At 40.8% G+C, this 15,021-nt stretch overlaps 1 protein-coding gene across 7 annotated transcripts in view, besides 2 other annotated features; it reads right to left on the reverse strand.

Moving 5' to 3' along the window:
* SLC35B4 (solute carrier family 35 member B4) overlaps positions 1 to 14,339 on the reverse strand; it is a 31,007-nt gene extending 16,668 nt beyond the window's left edge. For 6 of the 7 annotated variants that reach the window (XR_001744890.3, XR_001744889.3, XR_001744888.3 and 3 more), the window contains exons 1-3: positions 10,676 to 10,931; positions 3,367 to 3,480; positions 673 to 775 (exon numbers count right to left, since the gene is read on the reverse strand). Coding sequence is in view for 3 of the 7 variants with exons in the window: in NM_032826.5 (NP_116215.1) it covers positions 673 to 775; positions 3,367 to 3,480; positions 10,676 to 10,752 (294 nt within the window). In the remaining 4 variants the exon portion in view is untranslated. Of the gene's footprint in view, positions 1 to 672; positions 776 to 3,366; positions 3,481 to 10,675; positions 10,932 to 14,139 lie in introns of those variants that run through there. The other variant, XM_011516645.4, reaches the window with a different exon arrangement.
* Positions 10,472 to 10,641: a silencer, noted in NCBI's record as "silent region_18672". NCBI's record gives its function as "represses an Ori minimal core promoter by ATAC-STARR-seq in GM12878 lymphoblastoid cells {active_cell/tissue: GM12878}" and the evidence as "EXISTENCE:reporter gene assay evidence [ECO:0000049][PMID:35858748]".
* Positions 10,722 to 11,451: an enhancer, noted in NCBI's record as "active region_26689". NCBI's record gives its function as "activates an Ori minimal core promoter by ATAC-STARR-seq in GM12878 lymphoblastoid cells {active_cell/tissue: GM12878}" and the evidence as "EXISTENCE:reporter gene assay evidence [ECO:0000049][PMID:35858748]".
* Positions 14,340 to 15,021: the final 682 nt, after the last annotated feature.

Raw genomic sequence — 15,021 nt, forward strand, 5'->3', positions numbered from 1 at the left:
AGGATCTCTCTGTTCTCTAAAAAGGTGACAATCAATCAACAGGTGTTTATTGAAAGTCCACTATGTTTTCAATGCTTTGAAGGTCACCTTATTATAATTGCTTTGGAAACTCCCTTCAGGAACAGTACAATCTCACAAAAATCTCAGACCACATGGAAATGTTATCACCACAATTATCAGCCTTTTTTGCCTGGAGTGCTTTGGGAGAAACCCTACCTTCATCAAGAATTTCCCTTTATTATCTCAAGTCTCTGCTTAAAAAAAAAAAAAAAAATCAGAAAAGACAAGTATCTCTTTCATGTTCTAGAAGTAAATGTACTTTTATGAAAGAAGAAGAGATAAGAAATAAGTTAAATAACATTAATAGCATGTTTGAATATAAAATCAAAGAGATGAGGGAAAATGAAGGTAAAATCTGTTTCCTAGGGAAAATTTAATTTTCTTTTTATTAATCACTCATTAGACCTCAGAAGAATAAAAGTAAACCATCCACTTTGAGATTTCTCTTTTTGCCTTCTCAGATGAAAGCCACCCTTGCTCACGCATTCACAAACCTATTCTTCTACCCAAGACCACTTACTACAAGAACCTTCTAGTTCTGCCATATATTCAATCGATCTACTTAACTATACTTTTCAGAGGAACATATACACGTGATCCGGCAGCACTTACGGATCTAAATATCATATGCAGGGGCATGGCAATGTTGAGATTCAGGGCATAGTTGTTCACCACGCTCACGGTGAAGAACATGGTCACCATTATGGCATAGTACCTGAAATGCAGACAGAACAGCTCATCAAACAGAATCTAGGATTTCAAGAAAATCAAGTATAGGAAATATATATTTTTGGCTAAAAAGGCATTTTGCCTGTTTCCTCTGCGTTGCAAGATTGCATCACTATTATGCCATGTCAACTACTAAGTACATATCAAAACGCTTCACAAAGCCAGACTAACATGGGAAAATCTAAGTTATAAAATACATTTAAAGAAACACTATTTAAAAATTTTCAAGTATACATAGCAACTTAAAATGATTGTATTGATTCTTTGTAAATAATTTTCATATACCTCTGAAGAACTTGAAAATGGCTGATTTTCTCAAATACCTCCTCTATACACTTGTTTGTACTGTTAATTTTCGCTGTTTCTAAAGAAAGTATTTGCTAAGTTAAGGATTATTTTCAGCCTAGCAGCTGCTAAAATTCTCCCGCATTCTGAACTAGTGGCCTCCAAATTAATGAGGACATGGTTTGACTTGTACAGATTTTTATTTAAAATCAGGGTCTCTGTTTTTTGAAAGTTTATAGGTCTTAAAATAATAGAAACAAAAACTAAAAAAAAAAAAAAATCCAGTAACCCTAATAACTTAAAGGGATAAATACAAATGAATTATTATGAACAGATGGATTAAACAAATAATTTTACATTTGTATGTCATCACTGTGATTCAGAAAATACATAAGATGCCTTCTACATATATTGGGCCAAACCATATAAAATTGCCGTTTTTATAGGTCAAAAAGAGTTGAATGTCAGAAATTTCATATGACTCAACTTCCTATATTGAGTAAGAGAAAAAAACAGCATTTAAAATAAATGGCTAAAGAATGCAGGGCAAAAGCAAATAAGTGGTTCCATATTCTTCAGGAAATGTTGATCTTGGAGATTCCCAACCATTTTCCACCTTTGCACATCTGAAGGATATGACAGCACTGAGTCCTAAGTGATCTTCCCTGAAAGAACCGATTCTGCGTTGCTAGTTAGGTGTGGAGCCATACACCACAACAGGCAGTCAAGCCAAGGCTGAATTAATATAGTCTGGAAAGTCTGAGGAACTTGACAATGAACACATATGCAAAATTACCAGCAACAGCTTCTTCACAGCTTCTAAATAATATACTATCAGCGACTTTACAAAGTTTCTTGCCAAATTTTCTTAGTTCTACCTTGAAGAGGTGCCATTTACAGAGTTTGTCAAGGTCTTTTAGGGTAATTAATTTAACTATTCCACATTGCTTGCCTAGAAATTGTGGATGGGGATGAACGACATGAGCAAAATTTTGTTTATGGCTCCACCTACAGAAAATAAAATGGCCAACACACATAGGACATGCATGAGAATATGGTTATGAGGGCAAGATCACAGAGACCCTCAAAGGGCAGGATGGGGAGTCTGGACATCATTCAGAACATCGTGGTAACCACAGAGTGGGGCGACATGATAAAACGATATTAAGTGAAATTGATGGATGAAGAGGTGGGAGGCAGGGAAGTCAGCCAGCTAGGATGCTATTATAAAAGATATGGTGACAGGGTATACTTCCTGATCTATGCTAGTGGTGGAGAGAATGGGGAGAGATAGTGGGAAGAGGCAGGAAAGGGCCAGAGGAGTCAAGAAATGCTGGGGCTTTTACTGCAATATAAATGCTGGTCTTTAGGGGCAGAAAGTTTTATGCAGATACTAAAGCAAATGAAAAACTAAAAGTATCTGGAATATTTAGCATCGCACTGGGAACTTTAAAAGTATAATATTAACAAAATTCAGCCAGATTTTCTATAGCAGGCTACGTAAGAATGCTGCAAAAGAAAACCAACAAAGATGGGCCTTTGCCTTCATACTTGGATATATTCACACCAGAATGTCGCTCTAAACGGGAGTAAGTGACATCATCCTACTAAATACTCACAACTGGATGGATTACACTTTTATCTCAAGTCACTCTCAGCAAGAAGGCTGAGTTTTCAATACACTGTTTAACATAAGAACTGCCCTGTTTTCTATTTGGCCCCATGAGTACAATTATGCACATTTGGACTAATGTACTACAGGTCTGGCATCAACAAATTTTGACTTTGCTTGCCATTCATTTTCTTTTAATTGAGGTGAAATTCACATAACATAAAATTAACCATTTTAAAGTGAACAATTCCGTGGCATTTAGTACATTCACAAAGTTATGTAACTACTACCTCTATTTATTTCCAAAAGCCATTCGTTTTTAAAAAGAAACAAGGATACTCCCCTTTTAGAATGTTTGATAACTTCACCAACACAGAAGACAGCACAAAATTTGTGGTCACACTAGGCCTTCTGACTAATCCTATACTAAATAAGAACACACACACATACACACTCTTGTCTCCATCATGGTTATTTTAAATCTTGTGGCAGAAATTTTATTTTCGAAGTAGGTACCCCGGATTTTCACAACATATTAAATTCAGAAAATGACTTATTATTCTACTGGTATCTTTGAAATAAATCTTATAAAAGAATGTCTCATCCTCCTTTTATACAGGTACCACCTCTTTACTTTCTTAAAAAATCCAAAAGCTAAAAGAGACTCTAATGTACCATACCTTATTGGGATAGCTGGTGGCTTCCTTCCCAAATCAGCTTCAAAGAGGAAGCCTTCCACAGCAATAAATAAAAATTGTGCAAATGTCACAATGTTCCCACATCCTGGATGCTTCCTGTATAGTGAATAATAAAAGAGGGGGTGAAGGCACAAAAACTGAGATACAGAACACTAAAATGCATTCTAATTAGAGGGCCAGAATAACAGCGTGGATGGATTTCAATTACCCACTGTCCTTTATCTCAATGTTCATAGCCTTTGGATCACATATACTTAGCATTGATCTCACAGAGAAGAATGTCAAGCTTTCTTATTTAACTCTTCCTTGCGTGTATCAGGCCATGAGTGAGAATTACTGTGACGACACACTTGTTCCCAGAACTACGATACAGCTTTCCTAGTAAACTGCAGGAAATTGGTCATATGTTCTTATTGGGATCTTTGCTTCACCAGAAAGGTCTTTAATCAGGATCCCAGTCAGCTTAGGTAGCAAAGCCCAGGGACAGAAATATGCTCAGGTCTCCTGGAATGTTTATATATCCCTCCTGACCAGGAATCACCAAGACTGCTGTCAAACGAAAAATGGACCCAGTGTTGATGATAGGAACATTACTTTAAATGGTGCCCAGCAACGGGGCAAAATTGGTTCTTGGGATGGGGGAGATATCTTACTCTTTTTATAACAATAAAGTACAAATATACATACAGTACCTGAACCAGTACACACTATATCTATGGCAGGGGAGGGATTAAGAAAACAACGTCTAAAAAGTATTCTGGAGGAGGCATAATGAACAAAAGACTGAAAAACACTGCCGTAGTCTACTATTCTCTACAGCTCTTAACCCAGTGTTTTGAATATATTAGGCACTCAAAAAATGTTTGTGGAATTCAATAGAGTCTCTTTAGTGATCTGTGAAACAGTTGGGGAAGATTCCCCACATTCAACAGTGATTGTTAGGAACAAATTTACAAAGTTAAAAACTTCCTCCTGACATTCATCTTGAGGCACTCTGAAAACTAGTCATTTAAAATGTTCAGGTTTTCTTGAGCTTGTCTTCCATTCAGCTCTGCTCAATCGCTGGAAGAAGAACAAAGTGAGCAGTTATCTTTGCTCTCCTGAAGCTTCCAGATTTCCTATAATACCAATATTCACCTGCCTTCGTATTCTGTGTTTTCATCTTTTTTTTTTTTTTTTGAGACAGAGTCTCGCTCTGTCGCCCAGGCTGGAGTGCAGTGGTGCCATCTTGGCTCACTGCAAGCTCCGCCTCCCGGGTTCGTGCCATTCTCCTGCCTCAGCCTCCCGAGGAGCTGGGACTACAGGTGCCCGCCACCAGGCCCGGCTAATTTTTTTGTTTTTTTTCAGTAGAGACAGCGTTTCACTGTGTTAGCCAGGATGGTCTCCACCTCCTGACCTTGCGATCCACCTGCCTCGGCCTCCCAAAGTGCTGGGATTACAGGCGTGAGCCACCACACCCGGCCTCTGTATTTTCATCTTGACCAAAGGCATTTACCTGAAGCTGGTGAGAGGTATGTAATTGTATTATTACATATTAATATACTGCTACTTACCAGAAATGACTCCATTCTCCATTGGTATTAGTATTATACAGCAATGCCAAGATATACAAGTCCTTAAATATACCCATTAGGCACAAAAATAAGACAATACAGGCATGAGCCATTCTTCTACAGAACTAGGCTTACTAACTGAAACAGAAATGTTGCTACTCTTTAAGCTCTGCTGCCTATGAAGGTTTCCTTGAAAACTGCTTTCTATTCAATTCAACAAGTTCTCTTTTAGCACTTCTTATGTTCAAAGGACAAGGCTAAATGCAGGAATCCATAAATAATCATGTAAGACATTTACCTCATTCAAGGACCTAATTAAAACCATTAGCCTAAATATGAGTGACAGAAGGAACTTTAACTCTAGATGGTTCCTAGCACGGTGCTTTGGAACTCGGGCCAGCCTACTCTGCTTTTTAAAAACCTGTTTCCCAAATGGTCGGCACGGTGGCTGGCTCACACCTATAATCCCAGCACTTTGGGAGGCTAAGGCAGGTGGATCACCTGAGGTCAGGAGTTCGAGACCAGCTTGGCCAACATGGTGAAACCCATCTCTACTAAAAATACAAAAATTAGCCAGATGTGGTGGTGCATGCCTGTAATCCCAGCTACTCGGGAGGCTGAGGCAGGAGAATCACTTGAACCTGGGAGGTGGAGGTTGCAGTGAGCCGAGATCATGCCACTGCCCTCCAGCCTGGGTGACAAAGCAAGACTCTTGTCTCAAAAACAAACAACAACAACAAAAAAACCTATTTACCCAAAGAGGCTCACTCTCCCACTTCTAATTTGATTAGTCTGGGGTAGGACCCTGGAATCTGTACTTTTAAAAGCTTTCCACTTGATTGTCACATGCAGCCAGGTTGGAGAAATACCAGTCAAGGTGCAGGGAAAGGGCTGAGAGTGTATGTGAGTGCATGTGTCGCTGTATATGTGAATGCACAGGTAGTTCTCAGGTGCTGACACAAGGTTGAGAACCACTATGCTCCACTGTGCTTAAAAGTACACACCGACATGCGATATGTTGCTCTGTCACTTGCTATGTGACAGAAGTGAATTAATTTATCTAAGTCTAGTGTTTTTATCTTTAAAATGGAAACCATATGAGTGCCTATCTCTGATTTATTGTAGAGTAAATGAGCCATCCCTGAAAAGCACTTAACACAGCGCCTGCCACAGAGTGAAAAAGGCAAATATGATGACCAGTATTTAGGATCTTGCAGGCTGAAAGGTCTTCAGCCTTTAAAAGACATTCCAGTTGACTAAGTTTTCTCATCTCTAAAATGAAACTGATTTCACTGTCGTAGTGAGTATTCAATGAGAAAATACATGTAAGTGCCAAGCACAAGAGGTAATCCAAAAGAGGCTTCAAAGTTTCCTTCTATGTTCTCTTTAACAAGTTTAGGCCAAGTCAACTAAAGAACAATTATCAAGACTCAATTATGTGTAGAGTTAGGTGGCTGCTTCCAGGGAGCCCCCAACTTGAATGGGACTGGATCCCTGCCCAAGAAGATGACAATATGGGAGAGCCAGATGCGAAGGAGGACGTCAGAAGCCAGTGCCTTAGCAGGGATGGTGATGGGACAGACCATGTCCCATTTACCTTTCTGCTCTCACTTTCGGGTCAGTGACCCACCTTTACTCAAGCAAGAGAATGAATGTGAGGGTTCCAATGTGATCTAGAATCTTATAATTTCTACAAAAGATAAAAAGAGATTTAAAAAATGATTCACATGACATGTGTATTCGCTATAGGATTTTTAAAAAGGGCATCTTAATACTTTTTATTTTATGGAGGTGGGTATTGATATGCCCATTTCATTCCATTTCTAAAGACGCTGAGGGTCCCATTGCACTGCGTCAGGTAAGTCTCCCAGCGGTCAACGGCAAATAAATGGCATTTGCGGTTACCCTTAGCATTATGATTATTACAATTCAGTGGGGTTAAGTATGGGTTTTTAGTTGTGCAATAATTGCCACTATCTAATGTTAGGACACTCCCAAGAGATACTCTATTCCCATTTTGAGTCACTTTCCATTTCTTCCTTTTCCCAGTCCAGCAATAACCCTATTCTACTTTTTGTTTCTATTTCTATAGAATTTAAAAATCTCCCTAATGTACTCAAATAATTTAATTTTTGAAAGCTCAACTTATGAAGCCTTTTCGAAACACACTGTTGTATAGCTACCAATGGAATTATTTATTTTAACTTGAATAATTCATTTTAAAACTTCAGAGTAAAAACTTGGATCCCTTAATCTTGTTTTCTTGAGCTCTCTTCCTCAGGAATTGTAATCACTAACTGCAAACAGTTTCTCTTACTTTGAATTCTCTTGGCAAAAATTCCAATTTTTATTTAAAAAAGAATGCAACTTTGAAGAGAATGAATTGGGCAGATCGTTTATGCCGTTTGCATTTCTTTTGCTGAATTTAGGAAACTATTTAATTCAAGATCAGGCACTTGAATGAAAAATAAAATAGGAAAAAAAATGTTTCAGATTGTTTTTCTGGTGTAAGGCAAGCAATAATATCTTGCCTAGTTAGTTAGCTGGTGTGTGTATATCTTGTTTCCAAGGTAGAATGTAAGCTCCCTAAGGAGGAATATCAAGGCACTCGTCCATTACTACCTATCTGCTCTGTCCACTGCATTGTGTTTTATTATTGGTCCCAATCATAGGGATAAAAATCAGAAAGAAAAGCCTGAGTTTGTTTTCCAATTTGGGGAAAATGGTTAAAAATGTCCTCTTCTTCCTGCAAGTCACTTAGCATTTATATTTAGTGTTATACTTGCTACTTATTAGGGCACCTACTGGCTCCAAGCCAGCCAATATAAAAAGCACAGTTCCTAGGCTATAAAAATTTATGGGGCTTCCACTGTGATGTCCCAAGATAAAGTCACAAATTCCAAGGCCATATCTAGAAAGAACCTTAAGGCCATCTGGTTCAACTAGCTCTTATTTTATTGATCTGTAACACAAGAAGTGGAGACTTGTCTTAGGAAAAGGCTCTATTCAGTCTGGTGCACCACTGATTATTTTAATAAATGCACCTCCTCACCACTTTATGAAAACCCATTGTTTTATGCAAAAAATGCAGATTTACAAAAAAAAGATAAGTGATGATTTATTTACAAATTATTCAAAATATTTTAAATAGGAGCTCCTATAATGCATGAAAATATTTTATAAAATTAGATTTGTCCACGACTTTGTAGGACCATAAATATATAAAAAAGAAATATATCTTTCTTTTATATATTAAAGAAATATATCTGTATTGAAACCAAATTGTTGGACAGAATGGGAAGCCCTACAAGTGTGCTTTAGGCTTCACATGCGCATCTCACTTCATCCTTCAAAACTCTGTGAAGCTGGTAGAACCATCATCACCATCACCCCCTTTTACAGTTGGGTCAGACTCAGGGAGATCAAGTAATTCAGTCAAGGGCTCACAAACTAGTAAAGAGGGGATTCAGTTGCTTGCATATTCTCATGTCATACAGCCTTTGGCAAGATTTAATTTAATGGCATATTCAACACAAATATTACCATTATTCCCTGACTTTCATTTCCATGGCTGGCCCGATGGTATCACTTTTTTATATTTTCTTTTTTTATTTTTTGAGACGTAGTCTTGCACTGTTGCCCAGGCTGGAGTGCAATGGTGCTATCTCGGCTCACTGCAACCTCCACCTCCCGGGTTCTAACGATTATCCTGCCTCAGCCTCCTGAGTAGCTGGGATTACAGGTGTCCACCACCAGGCCCAGCTAATTTTTGTATCTTTAGTAGAGACGGGGTCTTACCATATTGGCCAGGCTGGTCTTGAACCCCTGACCTCGTGATCCACCCACCTCGGACTCCCAAAGTGCTGGGATTACAGGTGTGAGCCACCATGCCTGGCCAACTTTTTTATATTTTCAAATCAATTGTTGCCAAAGTGGCCTTCCTTTAAAAGTGTATCAGATTTACAGTTGGATACAATTTTTTTTTCATTTTTTATCCCTCATCACCTATTCCCAAGTCAAATAACAGATCTTTATCAACACTTTCTGTACAATAAAATGTCAAGCTCCGTAACAGCAAAACTTAACCCCACACAGAGTTTACCTTAAGTAAACTGGTTGCTTTGGGATGATTTAATCAATGATATCAAATAAAATAAACTTCTAGTAGGCACCACATGAAGAACTGGATGACCAAAATCTATGGGCTGCTCAAGTTCAAAACTGGCAGGGAGGTTGAAAAAGGTATTGGACTAGGAGCTTAGATATCTTGGGTCCCATTTCTGGCTCTGCCACTTACAAGTAGTGAAGGGTCACCTAACTTCTTTGGACCATTTCCACTTCAGTAAAACAGTTTATAATTCTTGACCAATCTTCTGCACAGGATTGTTCGGATGATCAACAGAGATACAAGTTGAGTATCTCTCATCTGAAAATCTGAACTCTGAAATGCTCTAAAAAATATGAAACTTTTTGAGCACTGATATGATGCCACAAGTGAAAATTCCACACCTGACACCTTTGCTTTCTGATAGTTCAACGTATACAAACTTTAATTCATGTACAAATTATTAAAAATATTGTATACAATTACCTTCAAGCTAAGGTTATGTGTATAAGGTGTATAAGAAACACAAATGAGTTTGTGTTTAGATTTGGGTACCATCCGTAAAATATCTCATTATGTATATGCAAATACTCCCAAATCCAAAAAAAAAACAAAAAACAAAAAACACCAAATAACACCCGTTCCCAAGCATTTCAAATGAAGGATACTCAACTTGTAATGTATAGATTCAGAAACACGAGCTAGAGAACACTATAGGTATTGTTTTACTGCCAGGAAAAGGAGCCCAAGAGAGGCTAAGTGACTTGAAGGGCTACACAGCCAGTGGACGACGGAGCCAAGAGTGAAATTCACAACCCAGCTTTTTAGTCCTGGAGGCTTTTCCACACCACCTGTTGTCTCTTCTGTTATAGCTTCTATCCACTGAACTTTGCACATTCAAAGTGACCTCAAAGAGCCCTCTCAGGTCACTTGGACCAATCTTCTACTTGCTTTTTTTTTTGTCTTTTTGCAAGCCACCTCAAAGAGCACTCTCGGGTCACGTGGACTGATCTTCTACATAAAAATCTGTTCTACCGCATCATTTATGTATGTTTGGGCAAAGTACTCATAACCATTTCCAAGGCCAATAAAGCAAATGCTTTGCAGGATGCCGTAATAAAAATAAAACTTTCTTTGCAGTATGTACAAAGTCAGACTGCTTTACAAGTCAAAAACCTTTGCTCAAGTCCAGCCTGTGCCATTTAACAGGATCGAAAAAAGAGCTAGAGTTGGATGGGAAGGAAGAGAGAGTGGTTTGGTGAAGGAACCTTGGTTCTGACACTAGCTCTCTGCCGACCTTGGACTGGTCATGTGAAAAACTCTTCAGACTTCAATACCCCCCGAGTGTGGAAAAGGGGTGACGACAGCAACACCCTGAGTCTTCCCCTCGCAGGAATGCTTTGAAACTGTTAGGCGGGACTGCCGCCGGTGCGCAGTTTTGGGAAGCAGCGGACTCAGCGGGGTCCCAGGCTGCCCAGACAGGACGGATTGCTGGGGGGCTCAGGCCGTCCTGCCCCGGGCTCCGTGGGCGGCGGGGTGGGGACAGGGCGTGGGCGCGTCCCGGGGGGACCTCTCCTCTGGCTTCCTCCGCCCCGCCCCGGGAGACCGGGTGCGGCCCGAGCGGGTCACTCACCGGGCCAGGAGCTCTAGGAAGATCACGTTACTGCAGCAGCCTGCGAACACCAGGCCCACCGCCAAGGCCGGGCGCATGGCCGGTGCAGGGTTGGGGAAGCAAGCGCACAGAGTAAGCGCCCGCCTGTACCGCTACCCCAGGAAGCCGGCCTCCTGCCTCTTCGCTGCGCAGCACATCGCACCGTCCTGGAAAGCCGCTCTCACTGGGGGCCGCCGCGGTCTCCCCTTCTCCCGCGGCCAACACCGACGCTGCCAAGAAGCTGTAGTTCGCAGTCAGCTTCGGTCCCATTCATCCGAGGGGGCGTCCGAGCCCCGGCCAGACTACATGTCCCAGGATGCCGTGCACCTTTACCTCAGGATGCGACGTTCCCGCTTCCGCCAGGCAGCTCCGCCAGAGAGGACAGGGGGACGAGGTGCCCGGCATGACTCGCGCGATAGGCGGCCGCGGGTCTTGCTGGGAAATGAAGTCCCAAAGCGTCAGTGTTTCTTGCGAGACCGCCCAGAGCGCTGAAAGTAACTCGGCCGCCAGGGTCACAACAAACTTGCTGGCAGCGGCGGCACTAGAACTACAGAGCTGTGACTGCTCGTTGGAGGTGTTCTAGCATCTGAAACAACTCTGCTTCCTGAACTGATATATATATATGTATCTTTGGTGACTCTATTATGCTGCCAGGATTAAGAACCACTGAGAATTCAAGTAAAGCAATGGCTCTCAACCACGTCTGTACATTGGAATCACTTGGAGAGCTTTAAAGATGACTGATAGCCAAGTCCCACCCCCAGCGATTCTGATTTAATTAGGCTGAGGTGCAGCCTTAAAGGTGATCTATTGATATTATCCCTAATCCTAGCTCTTTAAGGTACTCCCTTCCTTTACCTCCGTGGTTCTCAAACTTAGCTGCGCAGTCAAATCACCTGGGGGCTTTGAAAACTGCCAACGTCCAGGCTCTTCTACTGGCAAAAATGCCAATATCAGCAATCAGATCTTTAATGGTGAAAAGAAGGCATACTTCCCTCTTCTTACAGTGGAATTCTCATAGCACTTACAATCTGAGCCATTCGACTTGACTCTTACTTACTCAATGAACAAATGTTTGTTAAGCACATATTACGTACATAAGCTAGTGCGGCACTATTCTTTATTTGTAAAATAGGTATGCACACTTTATCCACCCAGCAAGACTAGTTTTTAAGGGAAACGTGTTTACACTTCCTTTCTGCTTCCCAGTGTCTACTATAAAAGGTTAGCATCACTGCTCAGTATTTTACCACATCAAATATTTCCGTTGTAATTGAATCCAACAGCAATAGCAAAGTACACGGTACAAAGCTAGGTAGGATTTTGGAATGCTATATTGTTTTTGCTATTTCCTGTGAGACACGAACATTCTGAAGTCTTTCTCGAGATCTACAAAATAGTTTGGAATGCTTTTTTCCCAGTCCGTGACTGGGAGATCACATTGGAATCATCTGAAGTACTCGTTATCGAGTGCAGATTATTGGGTCTCGCTTTAGACCTACCAAGTCAAAATCCTTGTGTATGGGTTCTAGAAACTTGTATTTTTAACAAGCACTCCACGTTCTAATTCTAATGCATTCTAGAATTTGAGAACTGCTGCCTTAAAAAGGTGAGTAGGAAGAAGAACTAACATAAATAGAAAGCCTACTACCTGTGAAATTCAGTATTTAATGAGCACCCGTCTTGAGTTTGCACAGTGCTGGCACATTAAACAATGAATTATATATACATATATACACGTATATATACCAGTTATATTCATATACACATATATACACACACACATATATATATATATATAACTGGTATATATACAGGTATATAATAGTACCAGTTCTACCTCAGACCAAGTAAAGTGGACTATCTGGGAGTGAGGCTGAAGCAATGATAATATCTCCACCTCCACTATCAATAATCCTGCCAACAGGAAGCTGGTCTGGATTTTCATCTGGATTTCATTAGAGGTGATTTCTCTTCACACAGACCTTCATTTTCCATATATGCCACTAATTTGGAAGCCCTTAAAGGATGTTCTAAACATTTCTCATTACATCTCAGATAAAAACCCAAGCATGTCTAAGTGATTGCACAAGAAAAAAATGGCCTGAGTACTGTAATATTTGCAAGAGTTCTGTATCTTTCTTCCTTCCTCCACATTTCTGTCTTCACCTACTGCAGTGAGTATTAATTTAATGTGCATGTTAATCACTTGGGGATCTTGTTAAAATGCAGATTCTGATTCACTAGGCCTGCAGCATGGCCTGAGATTCTGCATTTCTAAGTAGCTCCCAGGTGATGCTGGTGCTACTGACCTGTTGACTGCACTTGGAGAGCAGAAGCCTGTAAAATCATTAACTCTGAAGACCTCTCTATCCTCCCCTCTCATTTGCTCAGAGAACTCTTGCTAGCAAACCTGTTCTCAGACCAAAATCATGCTCAAAGAAACTAACTTATCTTTCTTCCTCCCTCATTTTACCATCAACTCTCTTTAAAGAGTAATCTACATTCGTAGTCTCTACTTGTTAAATCTCCAATCAGCTTCTTAAACTACTCTGATCAATGCCAGGGTATTAAAAGCAGTCCTGTTGAGAGCCGTGATGACTTCTTAATTGTGAAAACCATATAACACAGTCTCACCTTACTTGATCTGGCAGTGGCTTTTTACAATGAAAACCCAATATTTCTTGACATTCTCTTGTCCCTCTGTTTATAAGACATGAGTCTCCTGTTTCTCTTTTGACTTCTCTGACTTACGCTTTCCAGTTTCCTTAATGGGCTCTCCTCCTCTGACCACTGGGTTCTCCTTTCAGAGTTCCATCATTTATTCCCTCCTCTCATTGCCCTGCACATGTTCTCTTGGCGATTTCACCTCTGGAACTTCCACCACTGCCATATGGAATAGTGATCCTGCGTGTGTGTCTATGTACAGCCCCCATCTCCCTTGTGTCCTTAATCAAAATTTCCAGTGTCTTTGGAATGTTCACTAATGTTTCCCTGTAAACCCCTCACCATTAGGGCATACACATTTCATTACCTACCCTCCCTAATAGGCCTTTATTTCTATTAAGAACATTGTACTCTACTTCTTCTCTTTGGGAAAAACCTGAAAGTTTTCGGTCTTCCTCTTTTTTCCACTGCACATTTATTTGCTCTTTATATCCCATCGGTTCCACCTCACAAGTATCTCTAGATTCCAGCCTTTCTTGTCCATTCCCATTGACATCCACTTCTTCTCCCGTAAAGGCCTCCTAACATCTTGGTGCCTTCAGCCTCTGTGTTCTTTAACCCATCCTCCCTGCTGCCTCCAGGCTGATTCCAAAAACAAACCCAAAATCTTCATGTCCCATTGCTATTCTAAGATGTCTTTTCTAATTGTGTAGTACGACATAACAAACCACCCCAAACTGTAGTGATTCAAAGCAAAACAAACAAATAAAAAAACCCACACACTGTATTTCTCACTCAGGTTCTGTGTGCTGACTGTGCCCAGCACACAGCTGCTCTGTCCTCTTGGGGTTCTCATGCAGTTGCAGTCAGATGTAGGCTGGGGTTGGAGTTCCCTGAAGGCTTGAAAGGGTTGATCCCCGAGATGGCAGGAGCAAGTCTCTTGACATGGTGTCTCTTAGGCTGTGCTTGCTCACAACATGGTGGATTCAGGATAGTTGGAATTCTTAAATGGTAACTTGTTTCCCCTGGAACAAGCATTCCAAGATATTAAGTCAGAAGCCGTCGTGGCTTCTGAAGTCACACAGTGCCACTTGTACCACATTCTATTGATTCCATAGGACCAAGCCTGATTCACTGTGGGAGAAAACTAACAAAATCATCAGTTGTGTCTGTGTGGGAGGGACGTCTTTGAAGTCTAGCTATATACAATGTTCTTGATTCCTTGTGTAAAAGCCACGCTTAGTAGAAGGCATATAAACATCACAATCAAGCCTTAGTTTACCTCTTTGGTTTTACCTTGTGTCACTCTCCCTAGGGTTACCTGGGCTCCACCCACATAAACTCACTCTCTTCCCTGAGTTTACAGTAACTTTCAAAATTCTTATCTGTGCATACGCTGTTCTGTCTGCTTGGAATATCCTTTTCTCTTTAGCCAACTCCTGTTCATCTTTTTACGGTGGCCAGAGAGGACAGTAGAGTCAGTGGATACCTCTATATTGTGCAGGAGGAAGGTGCTGTGCTAAGATGTCACTTTTCTGTGTGTAGCTTTTCTTTCCTTTTTTTTTTTTTTTTTGGAGGGGGAGTTTTGCCCTTGTTGCCCAGGCTGGAGTGCAATGGCACGATCTCGGCTCACTGCAACCTCTGCCTCCCGAGTTCAAGCG

Source organism: Homo sapiens, chromosome 7 (genome assembly GCF_000001405.40).
Source record: "Homo sapiens chromosome 7, GRCh38.p14 Primary Assembly".
In the NCBI taxonomy this organism is placed as follows: Eukaryota; Metazoa; Chordata; class Mammalia; order Primates; family Hominidae; genus Homo; species Homo sapiens.